Here is a 15,419-nt window from a genome sequence, read left to right as displayed (position 1 = left end):
CCACTCCGCCCAAACTAGGTGACACCCAACAAGAGGAAGTCATCCTTTTCATGTGAAAAGAACAGATCCCAACATGTCTGACATTACAGTCTTAGTAACAGCGTCAATGAAACCAACTTCACAAACTTCAGTAGCATCATGCCCTGTAAGTGACACACACACTGGGGGCAGCCACCAACAGCCCACTCAGTGCCCACGTGCCGTGACGCCACCCAGGACCACACTCGGGGGCAGCCACCAACAGTCCACTCAGTGCCTGTGTGCCATGACGCCACCCAGGGCCATACTCGCCGCCCCTCACGCTCTCCAGCATCACTGCCCTCCCACAGGAGTGGAACGGGGCCTAGAGAGGCGCAATGACCACTCAGGGTGGCAGCAGAGGAGTCAAGCCCAGAGCCAAGCCCCGGATCTGGTGCCCGCCCACCCAAGCAGTGCAAGAGCGGCCACCAGCAGGAGGGTTGGGGAGACGCCTCCGAGGAAGGGGCTTGGAACAGTGGAAGGGGCTGGAGGAGAGCAGGGTGGCTGGCTTAAAGGCACCAGGGACAAGAACAGACAAGTCAAGTTATGAAGGAGGGGTGGCAGGCGGTACCGGAAGGCCAGCGTGACCAGGAGGAGGCCGAGAACTCGAGACAGTCAGCTGAGCCAGGAGGAAGCCGAAAAGAACAGGAAGCCACGGCGGCCCCAACGGGAGCCCTGATCAGGGCGACCTGGCACTGCACTGGCAGGAAGGGCCCAGGGCGCAGAGCCGTCAGGCAGGTACGGGACAAGCCCAGGACTCAGCCCAGGAAGGAGAGGAATCAGAAGAGGCTGGCTCACCAGGGGACACGGATGCCAGGAAGTGAGAGGGGGTGAGCAGAATGGAGCTCCAGAGGCTGGACAAACCCGTGTTTGATCTGATCCCTGGGCAGGCACTCTGCTGCTATCTAGGCAGGAACCCCTTCCTGCGGGGACCTCCCAGACGGCCTGGCAAGGACCCACTTCTGTCCTCCTCTCTGCCAAGGCGAGGGCTGCCAGGGCCAGGGGAGCGAACGAGAAGGTGCTGCCGTGATGGGCAACCTGGTACCTCCTGGCCACTCCCGAGAAGTGGAGGTCACTGGGGCTTTAAGACCCCCCCACGCCAAAGTCCAAACAAGTGAGGCCCAGAGGAACCTCCCAAGGGGGAGGGGACCAAGGAAAAGGAGCCAGGGCTTCCAGCTGCTGCCCCTACCGTGTGGCCCTCCGGGACACACACTGTATGGGTTTTAACACGAGCGGTACACCCACTGGAATTCTGCACATCCTGTCTGACCACCCCAACCTCGGCACAGGGCCCCAGCCCTGCCTCCCAGCCTGCCGGCAAGGGCAACCATGCCCCGACGCAGCCTGGCCATCCGGGGTCCACTGCCAGCCCTGGCCCTGCGACCTACACCAGCTATGCGCATCCTCCTCCCCCGCAGAGTCTGTCCTCTGGCACCCAAAGTAAGCCCCCTGACAGGCACTGTGTGAGACCACCTGGGGCCAGCTTCGGAGGGTCCTGCCCCCCAACCCACTTCCCAGTAGTGAAAACACACAGCAGCCTGCATCCATCTCTTCACTGTCCTCTCATTGGCCAGGAAGGGGAAAGAGCACACACCCCTGAAGCCACCATGTGGCCCTTGGCCCTCAGCCGCAGGAACTGGTTTTTATCAGAGGCTCTGGGGCAGCCACGTCACAGATGCTGACATACACATTTTGGAAGGCTGTCATTCCTTCCATGCCCGCAATAAATCATCCACAATCATGTCGCAATCTAAATAATATCACAGGAAGGCTGGGCGCAGTGGCTCACACCTGTAATCCCAGCACTTTGGGAAGCCGAGGTGAGTGGATCACCTGAGGTCAGGAGTTCGAGACCAGCCTGGTCAACATGAAGAGACCTCGTCTCTACTAAAATATAAAAATTAGCCGAGCGTGGAAGCAGATGCCTATAATCCCAGCTACTCGGGAGGCTGAGGCAGGAGAATCGCTTGAACCCGGGAGGTAGAGGTTGCAATGAGCCGAGATCGTGCCACTACACTCCAGCCTGGGTGAGAGAGTGAGACTCCGTCTTAAAATAAATAAATAATATCACAGGCAATCTATACCTTTGAGATTATGAGAAGAAAATCCACAAGGCCATACACAAAATCAGAAATGCTGTCAATAAGATCTGAAAGATAAATCATAAAATGTAAACTTCATAAATATGAAGGAGGTGTTTCACTTCATGTCACGCTCATGAGTAAAATTCAATTCTCAGAATCTGGCAGGCCGAACAAAGTGCTCTAGAAAACCTCTATACACGCAGCATTTACATCCCCCAAATTAGCTGAAACTTGAGAACCAGGAGAGAGGAGTGTCCCAGAGGCCAAACAGACTGAAGGAGAAGGTGGCCAGGGAGTGTGTGATGCCCACTGAGAGGCCAAAGAATATGGGCATGGGCCATCGCTGCTCCTGTGATGGGCACAGGCTGCGGGCACGTAGGGCTAGACCAGAGCCTCTGGGAGGCTCTAAGACAGTGCACGGATGCAGGTAAAGTGTAGAGCTGTTTTAAAAGTAAACTTTACCTTTTCAAACAGCTTTAAATTTATGGAAAAAATTATTTTAAAGACAGTAGAGAGATACACATACTTTTTTTTTTTGACAGTCTCGCTCTGTCACCAGGATAGAGTACAGTGGCATAATGATGGCTCATTGCAGCCTCAATCCTCCTGGGTTTGAGCAATCCTCCCATGTCAGCCTCCTAAGTAGCTGGGATCCAGGAGTTCACCAACATGCTCAGCTACTTTGTGTATTTTTTGTAGAGATGGGGTCTCATTCTGTTGCCCAGGCTGGTCTTGAATTCCTGGCCTCAAGCAATCCTCCCACCTTGACCTCTCAAAGTGCTAGGATTACAGGTGTGAGCCTCCATGCCCCACCCAAACATGCTTTTTAATATACCGCTACTCCAAAAAGAGTAAAGGGAAATCCCTGAAAAGAGACGAGGAAGGAACAGAGGGGGAAGCAGTTAGAAAATGCCAATGCCACTAGGGCCGGGTAGCCCGCAGTGAGCCTCAGCCACAGCACGGTTGTCCCCTCAACCTGAGATCCTCCATCCAGCTCAGCCATGGCCCTCGGGGAGTAGTGTTGTCCTAGGTGCAACACTCCTGGAAGCCACATATATTAATGCAAATCCTTCCAGAAAGAAAACAGCCCAACAGGGGCCCTCAGGAGTTCCAGATAGTGAGCCCACTCGAATATGAGTTCACTATGAAAAACCCAAGGAGAAGCCCAGCATGAGTGGGTATCAGCAGAGACAACAATGAGCAGAGTCTCAGACATGGGAACAATCTAATGCAGAGCGTTGAGTAACCATCTGTGAAGCTGTCGAGAAACAAAGGCTGAAGCAGAACACGAGCACAGTGCAGGTCGGAAACAGAACCATATGGAATGTCCGACAGTGAAAATACAGTAAGTGAAGTTAAAGATTCAATAGGAAGGCTAAACAGAGATTAGGCAGTTGAAGAGAGGATTTGGGAACTGGAAGATGGAACTGAAAACAATTACACTGACCACAGTACAGAGGGATGGGCAGAGAAAATAAGGAGGAGAGAGAGAGAGCAGCAGAGAACTGAGGTGGTCTCCTCAGGATCTGAGATTCAAAAACGACTGTGGAGAACTCCTGAAGACCGTCACCTACAAATGGTGCTGTGAGCAGGACTAATGCAAGCCAGCAAGACTTTTCAGTGGATCCCATGATGTTGATCTCCCAAGGTGGTCACAGGAATCAAGACACCCACCACAGTGGCTCAGCACAGCATCCAGTCGGCACTCAGCACAGATATACTAATCATCAGTGTCGCTTCCAGGCCACGGCTGGGCTTGTCTGTGCTCAGGAGTGGAGCTGAGGAGGAGGCAGAGGGACTGAGGGCTTGTCTCAGCATCAGGAAGGGCAGGGAAGGAGAGGGCACCTTGCGGTTCCTTTCTTCATTTCAAAAAGGGACATTATATCTCTGACAAGAACTTTTAGAAGTTATGTCATCAATGCAAGTGGAAAAAATAATGCAAAATGATATCATGGTATAATCACAAATATGTAAAATTTTCTTTAAAATGTAAGATCTGTGAAAATACACTCTTAAATACTGAAAAGACGTAACTAGCCACAAAGGAACAATATCCAAAGCTAACAGCAGTCAACCGCCCTTGAACGGTGACGTTACGACTATTTTTTGACAAATAAAACTTTGTGGTGTACAAAGTGGTGCTGGGTGCTGGCAGGGAAGCCTCTGGCCTTCACATACAGGTGGCTGGACCCCAGTTTACACAGTGCACAGCTCTCTCACTCCCAGGTATATTCATTAAACAAAAGCAGTAAGATTCATGGTAATTATAAATGATCTCTTTGCAAATTAAGTAATCTTGTCAGGAAAAGTCATGACCAATTTCTCTGAAAGTATGAAAACTTGGAGGACAGCAGTTTGATGTCCAGGTGATATGGTTTTGTTGTGTCCCCACCGAAATCTCATCTTGTAGTTCCAATAATCCCGTGTTGTGGGAGGCACCCAGTTGGGAGGTAACTGAATCATGGGAACAGTTACCCTCATGCTGTTGTGATAGTGAGTTCTCACAAGATCTGACGGTTTTATAAGGGGTTAGTCCCTCTTTTGCTCAGCACTTCTCTCTACTGCCACCATGTGAAGAAGGACGTGTTTGCTTTCCCTTCTGCCATGATTGTAAGTTCCCGGAGGCCTCCCTAGCCATGTGGAACTGTGAGTCAATTAAACCCATTTCCTTTATAAATTACCCAGTCCCAGGTATTTCTTCACAGCAGCATGATAACGGACTAATATAGTAAATTGCTACCAGAAGTAGGGTGCTGCCGTAAAGATATCTGAAAATGTGCAAGTGACTTTGGAACTGGGTAACAGGCAGAGGTTGGAACTGTTTGGAGGGCTCAGAAGAAGACAGAAATATGTGTGAAAGTTTGAACTTCCTAGAGATCTGTTGAATGGCTTTGACCAAAATGCTGACAGTGATATGGACAACGAAGTCCAGGCTGAGATGGTCTCAGACAGAGATGAGGAACTTGTTGGGAAGTAGAGTAATGGTCACTCCTGCTATGCTTTAGCAAAGAGACTGATGGCACTTTGTCCCTGCCCTAGATATCTGCGGAACTTTGAACGTAAGAGAGATGATTTAGGGTGTCATGCAGAAGAAATTTCTAAGCAGCAAAGCATTCAAGAGGAAGCAGAACATAAAAGTTTGAAAAATTTGCAGCCTGACGATGTGACAGAAAAGAAGAAAAAATTTTCTGGGGAGAAATTCAAGCCTGCTGCATAAATTTGCATAAGTAATAAGGAGCCAAATGTTAATCACTGAGACAATGATGAAAATGTCTCCAGGGCACATCAGAGACCTTTGGGGCAGCCCCTCTCATCACAGGCCTGGAGGCCGAGGAGGGAAAAATTGTTTCCTGGGCTGGACCCAAGGCCTCCCTGCTCTATGCAACCTCAGGACATGGTGCCCTGAATCCCAGCTGCTTCAGCTCCAGCCATGGATAAAAGGGGCTAACGTAGAGCTCAGGCCATTGCTTCAGAGGGTGAAAGCCTCAAGCCTTGGCAGCTTACATGTGGTATTGGGCAAAGAAGTCAAGAATTGAGGTTTGGGAACCTCTGCCTAGATTTCAGAGGATGCATGGAAATGCCTGGATGTCCAAGTAGAAGTTAGCTGCAGGGGTGGGGCCCTCGTGCAGAACCTCTGCTAGGGCAGTGTGAAAGGGAAATGTGGGGTTAGAGTCCCCACACAGAGTCCCCACTGGGACACTGCCTAGTGGAGCTGGGAGAAGAGGGCCACCCTCCTCCACACCTCAAAATGGTAGATCCACCAACAGCTTGCATCATGCACCTGGAAAAGCTGCAGACGCTCAATGCCAACCCGTGAAAGCAGCTTGGAGGGGAAGTGTACCCTGCAAAGCCAAAGAGGCAGAGATGCCCAAGGCCGTGGGAGCCCACCTCTTGCATCAGCATGCCCTGGATGTGGGACATGGGAGTCAAAGGAGATCATTTTGGTTTAATGACTGCCCTATTGCATTTTGGACTTGCATGGGGCCTGCAGCCCCTTTGTTATGGCCAATTTCTCCCATTTGGAATGGGGATATAGACCCAATACCTGTAATCCGATTGTATCCTGGAAGCAACTAACTTGCTTTTGATTTTATAGGCTCATAGACAGAAGGGACTTGCCTTGTCTCAGATAAGACTTTGGACTTGGACTTTTGAGTTAATGCTAGAATGAGTTAAGACTTTGGGGGAACTGTTGGAAGGGCATGATTGTGTTTCAAAATGTGAGGATATGAGATTTTGGAGGGGTCAGGGGTGGAACGATGCAGTTTCGCTATGTCACCACCCAAACCTAATCTTGAATTGTAGTTCCCATAATCCCCATGTGTCATGGGAGGGAGTCAGTGGGAGGTAATTGAATCATGGGGGCAGTTACCCCCTGGTGATAGTGAGTGAGTTCTCATGACAGCTGACGGTTTTATAAGGGGCTTTCCCCCTTTTGCTTGGCACTTCTCTCTCCTACTGCCATATGAAGAAGGACATGGTTGCTTCCCCTTCTATCATGATTGTAAGTTCCCTGAGGCCTCCCCAGCCATGTGAAACTGTGAGTTAATCAAACCTCTTTCCTTTAAAAATTACCCAGTCTCAAGTATTTCTTCATAGCAGCACGAGAACAGACTAATACAACAGGTAATATTAAATTTTTATTTAATGTATGTGATATGATATTTTAATATATGTATACACTGTAATATGATTATCACAATCAAGTGAATTAACATGTACCTCCACCACCTCACTTAGTTGCCTTTTTTGTGTGTGGTGAGAATCTATTCTCTTAGCAAATTAAGATTTACTCTCTTAGCAAATTTCAAGCATACAATAAATGCAGCATTATTAACTACAACCACCAAGCTGTACATCAGGTCTCTAGAACTTATTCATCTTATAATTGGAAGTCTGTATCCTGTGTCCAACATCTCTCCACCACTACCGCCAGGCACTGGTAAGCACCAATCTACTCTCTGCGTCCATGAATTCAATGTTTTTAGAGTCCACATGTAAGTGAAGCCACACATGTTTGGCTTCATCCATGTTGTTGCAAATGGCAGGAGTTCCTTTAAGGCAGAATATGCTATTCTCATTCTCTCTCTAAACACACACACACACACACACACACACACACACACACACACATCGCACATTTCCTTTATCCCTTAGGTTTTCATATCTTAGCTATTGTGATTAACACTTCCATGAACATGGGAGCACAACTATGAGAGACTGATTTTATTTCCTCTGGAGATATACCCAGTAGTGGATCATATGGTAGTTCCATATTTAATTTTTCAAGGAACCTCCATGCTGTTTTCCACAATGGCTGTACAATTTACATTCCCACCAACAGTGCAAGGGTTCCCTCTTCTCCTATCCTCACCCACACTTGTTATCTTTTGCCTTTCTGATAACAACCATTCTACAGACATGCAGTGACAGCTCACTGTTGTGACTGCATTTCTCTGGTGATGGGTGATGCTGAGACCTCTGCATATACCTGTTGGCCATCTGTAGAGCTTCTCTGGAAAAATGTCTACTATGGCTCTTTGCCATTTTTCAATTGGGTTATTTGGTTTTTGCCACTGAGTTGTATGAGTTCCTTATGTATTTGGATATTAACCCCTTACTGGATATACAGTTTGCAAGTATTTTCTCCCATTCACAGGTTCGTTTTTCATTTTGTTGGTTGTTTCCTTTGTTGTGCAGAAACTTTTTACTTCAATGTAATCCCACCTGTTTACTTTTAGTTTTGTTGCTTGTTCTTTTAGTGTCATGTCCAAAAAAAAATCATCGCCGAAACTGATGTCATGGAGCTTTCCCCTGTGTTTTCTCCTAGGAGTTTTTTTGGTTTCAGGTCTTAAGTGTCTTTAATCCATTTGTGAGATGATGTTTGTGTATGGTGTGCGATGAGGACCCCATTTCTCCATATGACTTCAGGGGTAGCCATTCCCACATCTCCTGGCACATGTGGACCACTGTAAACATGTTTATGCATTAAAGCACAGCATTCCTAATGTGTACTCTCATATACAGTACTATTTGTATTAATAACTTGTTTTCATTGGCCTATACTTCTTGGATTCTTCCCAAATTTCCATATATACACATTATACTTACAAAAAAAGTACAGCCACAAAAACAAAGCCACCCATGGAAAAAGACCCCAGTAAGTCAGCACTTTTCGGTGCTTACAATTTAAACATATACCGTAATTAAACAGCTCTAAAAATTTCTATAACATGCCTCCAGAATTGGAATTTACACTCAAGTAAACACATTTCTGTTTTAAAGAAACTGACGAAGTATTTTAAAATGTAACTTAAGTCCACACAACCTCTGCTCCTCGGTGGGTCTCTTGAACGCGGCAGCTCAGCTGACAAGGACTCAACTGCTCCTCTGCAGGCAGTCTGTCTGGGCCACCCACATTCACGGATATTTTGAAATGAATGTTTTGAAAGTTTTAAATTATTTATATGAGTAGTGTCACATGAGGAATCTAACCTTTATTAAGGTTTATTGTTAGTAACACTAGACAAAAGGAATTATTAAAACACATAATTTCCAAATTCTATTGGTTTACAGTAATATACTGTAATATACATTTTTCATTTTCAGCCACTGACAAAATTTTCTACCTTGAACATAAAAACTATTCAATCACCACTTGATGTTCCTAAAAAAACGGACCAAAGGCCTGCAAGGTGCTCAAATGCACTAAATGTTTTCAATACAAAGAGAAGAAATATAAATAAATGAATTAAGAATTTAATAATCAGCTGGGCATCGTGACTCATGCCTGTAATCCCAGAATTTAGGAGGCCTAGAAAGGAGGATCACTTGAGCTCAGGAGTTCGAGACCAGCCTGGGCAACATGGCAAGACACTGCCACTACAAAAAATACAAAAATTAGCTGGGTGTGGTGGTGTGTGCCTATAGCTCCAGCTACTTGGGGGGCTGAGGCAGGAGGATCGCTTGAGCCCCCTAAGTAGCTGGGACTCTGATGGCTCCTGCACAGAGGGACCCAGTCCCTTCCTGCTGGAAGAAAATCAAGGCTGCAGTGAGCCGTGATCACACCACTGCACTCCAGCCTGGGTGGCAGAGTGAGACCCTGTCTCAAAAAAAAAAAAAAAAGAATTTAACAATCCAATTTGCACCTAATATATGCTTTACCTTTTAAAATTTCATCATTCATATTTCAAGGCAATCTCTTGCTGGACTAAATGCAGAAGAGCACAGCATCCACGCCAGAGGCTGAGACTGAGGCCTCGGAAAGGTGCATCTGGGAGGGTCTCTGAGGCGGGCAAGGCTGAGTGCAGCACAGAGTGAGTGTTCAGGAGAAGATGCCCTGGCTTAGTGGCTCACTGCACTCCCACATGCTGGGGTGCTCTCTGCTCCACTAGCACAGGGGTCTTCAGACCCAGCCATGACCCTCCAAGGGACCGGCAAATCAATTCACAGTCTGTGAGCAGCATTTTTTGAAAAATGAAATGGGATGAAACAGAACAACACGGAAGGGAAGCATGCAGCATGTCTCCAGGCCCGTGCTGTCTGTGAACCCCACTTCTGAGCTGCAAGTCTGTGTGTGGACACAGTGCATGTGCATGCCTGTGAGCAGGGTCTTGGAGGGCACGTGTCTCCCCCCAGGGTGGCAGCGCAAGGACTTCGATGGCCCCTGCACAGAGGGACCCAGTCCCCTCCTGTTCCATCTCCCTCTCCACTCCTCAGCATGGTGCCCTCCTCACTGCAGCCCAGCTCCCACGTGCAACCTCGCCTGGCAGAGCAGCCACCACGGTCTGCGGGGAGGGCAGCACACCTGGGGCTGAGACACAGACCTGCGCTTCTCCCTTTAAAGTGTGTGTGTGTGTGTGTGTGTGTGTGTGTGTGTGTGTGTGTGTGTTCCAAGGAGCTTTTCAACCTTGAATAAAATCAGAAGGAACTGAACCAGGGCAAAAACCAAAATGACAGCCTTTCAAAGCAGCAGCAGCTAATATTCATTTCATATCCTTGGCGGAGCCTAAGATAATATATTCTGACAACTTTTGAGCCCAAAGTAGTGTCCTCCTGGGACAGCAGTAGGGGCCATCTGACTTTGGGATGCTCCTCCTTGTCACACCATAACCCTCTGTTGGGACAAACACCACACAGGCCTTTGCCCTCCTCAGCTCGCCCAGTCTCAGAAGCCAAGGGCCCTCCAGCACGCAGACAGGTGGCAGGCTGCCAGGCATCCAGGCCGACATTCGTGACTCAGGTTTCCAATGTGTCAGTGCCAACCCCCCGCAAGGAAAGATGAGTGTAAAAGTCAGCTGTGCTGAGAGGTTCTGGACAGGGACTGGCGTAACACAGCTGGCCACCAGGAGCTCATCCCGTGCTGGAGATGAGGCTGGAGATGAGGCTGGAGATGAGGGCTGGAGATGAGGGCTGGAGATGAGGCTGGAGATGAGGGCTGGAGATGAGGCTGGAGATGAGGGCTGGAGATGAGGGCTGGAGATGAGGGCTGGAGATGAGGGCTGGAGATGAGGCTGGAGATGAGGGCTGGAGATGAGGCTGGAGATGAGGGCTGGAGATGAGGCTGGAGATGAGGGCTGGAGATGAGGCTGGAGATGAGGGCTGGAGATGAGGGCTGGAGATGAGGCTGGAGATGAGGGCTGGAGATGAGGCTGGAGATGAGGGCTGGAGATGAGGGATGGAGATGAGGCTGGAGATGAGGCTGGAGATGAGGGCTGGAGATGAGGCTGGAGATGAGGCTGGAGATGAGGCTGGAGATGAGGGCTGAAGATGAGGGCTGGAGATGAGGCTGGAGATGAGGGCTGGAGATGAGGCTGGAGATGAGGGCTGGAGATGAGGGCTGGAGATGAGGGCTGGAGATGAGGCTGGAGATGAGGGCTGGAGATGAGGGCTGGAGATGAGGCTGGAGTTCACGCCCAGGGAAACGTTTCCTCATATGAACCAAGACTCAGCGACTGTCTCAAAATGACCTCCCGTGCAGCTAAACCCTGGTCTCTGAGCCTCCTGTCTCCCTCAGTCTGGCCCCTGAGCTCCGACCCCTCCTGGCAGCCCCCTTGGCGGTGTCTGGCATACCCATGGGTTGGTTACGGGGTTATGAACTGCTCTGCCCACAGGGACAGGCGGTGCATGGCAAACGCAAGCTGAGAACGCTCCCACTCACTTGGCAAAGCATCTGCTGAGCCCCCATGACGTGGCGAGCCATCCTGAGATGCTGGATGTACAAAATCAACATGCAAACCCCAAACTGGCAGCCCTGCCCCGCAGAGCCCAGTCCAAGGCAGAAAGCCATGGGGCAAAGAGCAGGGGCGGCTAGGATGGCGCTGCTCACTCTGGCAGGTGCATGGACAGGGCAGGGCAGGGGCAGCTGGAGGCTCTGTGGTGCTCCAGGCAAGAGATGGGGACGAGGGCAGGCTGCAGCAATGGGGGTGAGAAAGTGTAAACTCAGGGATTTTGAAGGCCGAGCCCAGGAGCTTGCTGACGTGGAGTATCAGAGGGTGTGGGCTCAAGCAGAAGGGACAGGGACATCCCTTCCTGAGATGTGGCAGACTGAGGGAGGGGTACACTGGAGGCGAGGGGAGAATCCAAGTCTTGTTTGGTACTTAAGTCTGAGGGGCCTCCTGGATGTCCGAGGAGAGACGGTGAGAAGATGTGGACCTGTCACTGAGACCGGGGCCCAGGGCAGAAGTGTCTGCTGCAGGGCCAGGCTGGGAGGGCAGCATGCGAGGGACGAATCGAGCCTGTCGTGGAAGGTGGTGGCGGAAGGAGACCGGTCCCCGCCCAGCCTAGGCCTCCCCCGTGAAGACCTGACAGTGGTGAAAAGCCAGTGGAGTCGGAGGAGAGGAGGGGAACCCGGAGGGCGCTGCTGCAGAAGCCCAAGGCAAGCTGGCCCAGCACTCGGAGCTCGGCAGCTCCTGCTGTCTGCGGAGGGCCGGGGTCCCTGCATCATGCGTAGGATGGCAAGCGTTGCAAGGAACCTCAACCAGCCTCCACATCCGCCCAACGGAGACAGGGATGCCTGCGTTCACAGAGCCGCGTGGGACATGGTAGGAGAAGGTGCTGAGTGCTCAAGGGCCTCGCCAAGCGGGCTCGCTGCCTTCCTCCTCAGGACCCAGGGGAAAGGGCTGGGGGTTTTTGGCCCGAGAAGGATACACCTCTGACTATGTAACATGGACGGACAGCTTACAGCACAAGGTGTCCAATTTCTTAATGAAAAGAAGGGGGAAGAGGTGAAAATAGAAATGTATTAAAACAGTTTTTCTCAAATATACTTGGATCTTTCCTTATATAGATGACGAGACTCAGAGTGTCAGAAAACGAGAGAAGAATCTGCAACCAGCATCTGAAGTGGGACGCGCTGATGCTCGCCGGCACAGACTCCAGGCCCTCCTGCACCAGGCTCAGGGCAACAGAGGTCTGGGGCGAAAGGTAAGCTGACCGATACAGCAGGACACAGGCGGGCAGAGGCCAGGCACACGGCCACAGCACACAGGGTGTGCACGCCCTGCGATCCCAGCACCAGTCAGCACTGCACTTCGGGGTCCCAAAGGAGCATGGGCACACGAGGGCCATTTAAGAGACGCGGTCAGTGACACTGATGAGAGAGACTGGGTTAATCCAGGCTGGAAAAGAGACACGGTGAAATGCGAACACCTTCCCGGATGGCCCACCAAGCTCATGCTACAGAGACTCAGAAATGACCCAGCAGAGGTGTCCACAGACACGTCAGCCCAGGCACGCCCCCGAAACCCTCTTGTGTCCTGCGGCGGCCATCAGCCATGCACCACTGCCACCAGCCTCAGGCCCTAACACAACCTGGTCCCGCAGGGGCTGGGACTCTCTGTCGGGGGACCCTGGAGCCTGGCCCAGCCGGCCCGCCCGTGGTAGACTCGCGAGGGAAGAGTGAAGGTTCCAGTCAAATGGCATGGGGCCCAAGGCTGCAGCCAGAGTGACTGCTGCGTGTCGCCAGCAGCCACCGCCCCCTCGTGACCACACTCCGTCTTCCTCATTATCCTTTCACTTCCCCAGGCTCCAACACGGGTCCTGCCCTCTGCCCTGCATGAGCGTCTGTCTGCCTCGAGCCTCGCTGCCAGGTCTCACCGCATCCTCTGTGTGACCGCAGCCACGCCGGGCCGCAGACTGCACCAGCTCCCACGCCTCCTCCCTCCTGCCCTTCCTCAGCGACCATGGCCTCCACACTGCCTACAAGAGAATATTCCACGTTTTTAAACAGTGCAACCCTTTTTAAAGATTTTTAAAATATTAAACAGAACGTCAATGCCTGAAGGGGAGAGAAGCCCTGTGGTCTCTAGAAAGTTCTTTCTGTCACGCTCTGGCAGCCTGAAGACAACCCCGTGCTGAGAGAAATGAAGACAAATCTACACCGCACCTCATGTGCTCCCAAGTCTCTAAAGGGCTTTGCCTTGAGAAACAAAGTTTCTGCCAAGTGTCTGACACTGCAGAACTTCTTCTCATGAAGGAAAGAAAGGACACCCTGAGACGTCACAAAACCACACCCTGATGGCCGCCGCCACCTCCATGCCGGCCACACAGGGCACACCTGGGGGGGCCAGCGTGGATGCACCCGAGGCGGCCTCTGACAGCTGAGGACTAAAGTCAAACCCCTAGCTCGAGCACAGGGGGAACATCGGGGAAGCCAACAGCTCGGGCGGCTCCGCGACAACTGTCATGCTTGTCCAGCCGTGCGCCAGCAGGGCCTTCACCTGGGCACTCACTTGCAGTGGGGACTTGTTCCCACAACTCACAGGAGAGGTGGAACTGCCCCGGAAAGTCCCACCCAGGACCCTGTGACAGCCACAGGCTGGCTGAACGGCCGCTGCCTGCCAGGGAGGCTCAAGCTGGGCTGCCCAGGGCTGCAGCAGCCCCCCAGCCCAGAGCGGCCACCCCACAGCAGGGCACCCTGGGAGGGGTGCGCAGACAGACCACAAGGGCTCTCTTCCTCCAGGCAATTCCTATTTCTTTGGGGCTGGGGTCTCCGTGCCTCCTCTCAGCATCTAACTAGTGTCAGAGCCTGCAACACCTGACGCCACATGGTTTATGAAACAGGATGAGGTGCCCCGATTAGGTGACAGGCACGGGCATCTTCCCGGCCTGCCAAAGCCAGGGAACCAGGCATCGACTGATCTGGCCAGCCAGAGCCTCCATTCTCTCCAAGTGGAAATCCCGGCAGCTCCCCCGCGTGCTCTTTGAATGGAGTCGGGCAACAGCTCCTAGAAAGGCGGGGGCATCCTCCCCCTCAAGATGAGGGGAGCTGGAGACACACGGAACTCCAAAAGAGCGCTGCTGCGGACACGGACGGCGGCACCCCAGCATTCCCTGACCCTCCCATTTTTTAGAACAACTACCTGAAGCTTAGAAGGAGAAGCAATTCTGCCGACCCCAGAGGCTTTCCAGCCCCTCGTCTGCTGGCCAGGACCCAGCCAGGCAGAGCTGCAGCAGAGACGCCCACCCACCCGCTGTGCCTCTGACTGCGAGAGGGGGAGCCGCTCACTTCTGATGCCTGACGACCACATCAGCCAGATTCCAATACACTCCCGTGAACAACTTATCTGCCAGTGTAAGCATTTGCAAGAGCTTCAAAAGGAAGTCCAAATCATGTAAACAGATACTTACAAAGGCAGGTTTTTAATGACTTTACTCGGAATAAAAAAACAAAATTTTCTACACCTTGCCTGGATATACACTGAGATGAAAGTGCTGCCTACAAATAAGTACAAATGGCTAACTGATTAACTGGCCCATTAAACCCACGACAGCTCCAAAATTCACTTTCCGACGCAGGATATGAAACAGAGGTTACAGGAACACATTCCCCCTGCCCCAAGACAGCCAGAGGCGGCCCGCGGCAGGCACGCCCCAAAGAAGACCAGAGCTGCTCCCCGAGCCTCACGCAGCTTCACCTTCCAAGCAGCTTTCCACGTGCACAGAAAGCCGGTTGATTTCATCAGGCTCATGCTGGCCCTGCCCAGCAGACCCATGTCTATTTCCCACTTAAAAGGAAGGACGCGGCTCATTTTCCTGTTCCCAACCCCTCCATGCCCCTCATCTCTAAACTAGTAGTTTGTCCTTCGCTTCTCTACAGAAGACTTTAATTAGATATTAGAAAAACATTAAGATTATACAATTCCCAGAAAAGAATGAATTCGAAATCAGTGCCCAGTAATTACTAAGACTTCTGTACATAATTTAAATTTATTTTTATCTTTGCACCAACACAGCCTTAAGAGGAAAATAGAAATTATTTTTATTTCATCTCAAATCTTTTAAAAAGCCATTTTAGAGTAACTTCAACTTCATAAG

The 15,419-nt window shown here is 50.9% G+C and overlaps 1 protein-coding gene across 21 annotated transcripts in view, besides 3 other annotated features; it reads right to left on the bottom strand.

The window, feature by feature from the left end:
• The window catches only part of RGS12 (regulator of G protein signaling 12), a 154,023-nt gene that overhangs the window by 53,673 nt on the left and 84,931 nt on the right, over nucleotides 1-15,419 (bottom strand). For 2 of the 21 annotated variants that reach the window (NM_001394159.1, XM_047416057.1), the window contains exon 4: nucleotides 6,730-10,979. The exons of 15 other annotated variants lie outside the window; for them this stretch is intronic. In NM_001394159.1, coding sequence (NP_001381088.1) covers nucleotides 10,455-10,979 — 525 coding nt within the window. In that variant the 3' untranslated portion in view covers nucleotides 6,730-10,454. Of the gene's footprint in view, nucleotides 1-87; nucleotides 152-424; nucleotides 567-816; nucleotides 1,086-6,729; nucleotides 10,980-15,419 lie in introns of those variants that run through there. 4 more of the 21 variants (NM_001394161.1, NM_001394163.1, XM_047416058.1 and 1 more) reach the window with 4 other exon arrangements.
• Nucleotides 578-657: an enhancer, noted in NCBI's record as "active region_21222". NCBI's record gives its function as "activates an Ori minimal core promoter by ATAC-STARR-seq in GM12878 lymphoblastoid cells {active_cell/tissue: GM12878}" and the evidence as "EXISTENCE:reporter gene assay evidence [ECO:0000049][PMID:35858748]".
• Nucleotides 12,511-13,439: an enhancer, noted in NCBI's record as "H3K4me1 hESC enhancer chr4:3374529-3375457 (GRCh37/hg19 assembly coordinates)". NCBI's record gives its function as "activates a minimal SCP1, AML or CMV promoter by ChIP-STARR-seq in naive H9 embryonic stem cells {active_cell/tissue: H9 hESC(naive)}" and the evidence as "EXISTENCE:reporter gene assay evidence [ECO:0000049][PMID:30033119]".
• Nucleotides 13,254-13,303: an enhancer, noted in NCBI's record as "active region_21221". NCBI's record gives its function as "activates an Ori minimal core promoter by ATAC-STARR-seq in GM12878 lymphoblastoid cells {active_cell/tissue: GM12878}" and the evidence as "EXISTENCE:reporter gene assay evidence [ECO:0000049][PMID:35858748]".

This window comes from Homo sapiens, chromosome 4 (genome assembly GCF_000001405.40).
Source record: "Homo sapiens chromosome 4, GRCh38.p14 Primary Assembly".
In the NCBI taxonomy this organism is placed as follows: domain Eukaryota; kingdom Metazoa; phylum Chordata; class Mammalia; order Primates; family Hominidae; genus Homo; species Homo sapiens.
The sequence above is the reverse complement of the archived record's forward strand: the minus strand, read 5'-3'. Positions and strand labels throughout refer to the sequence as shown.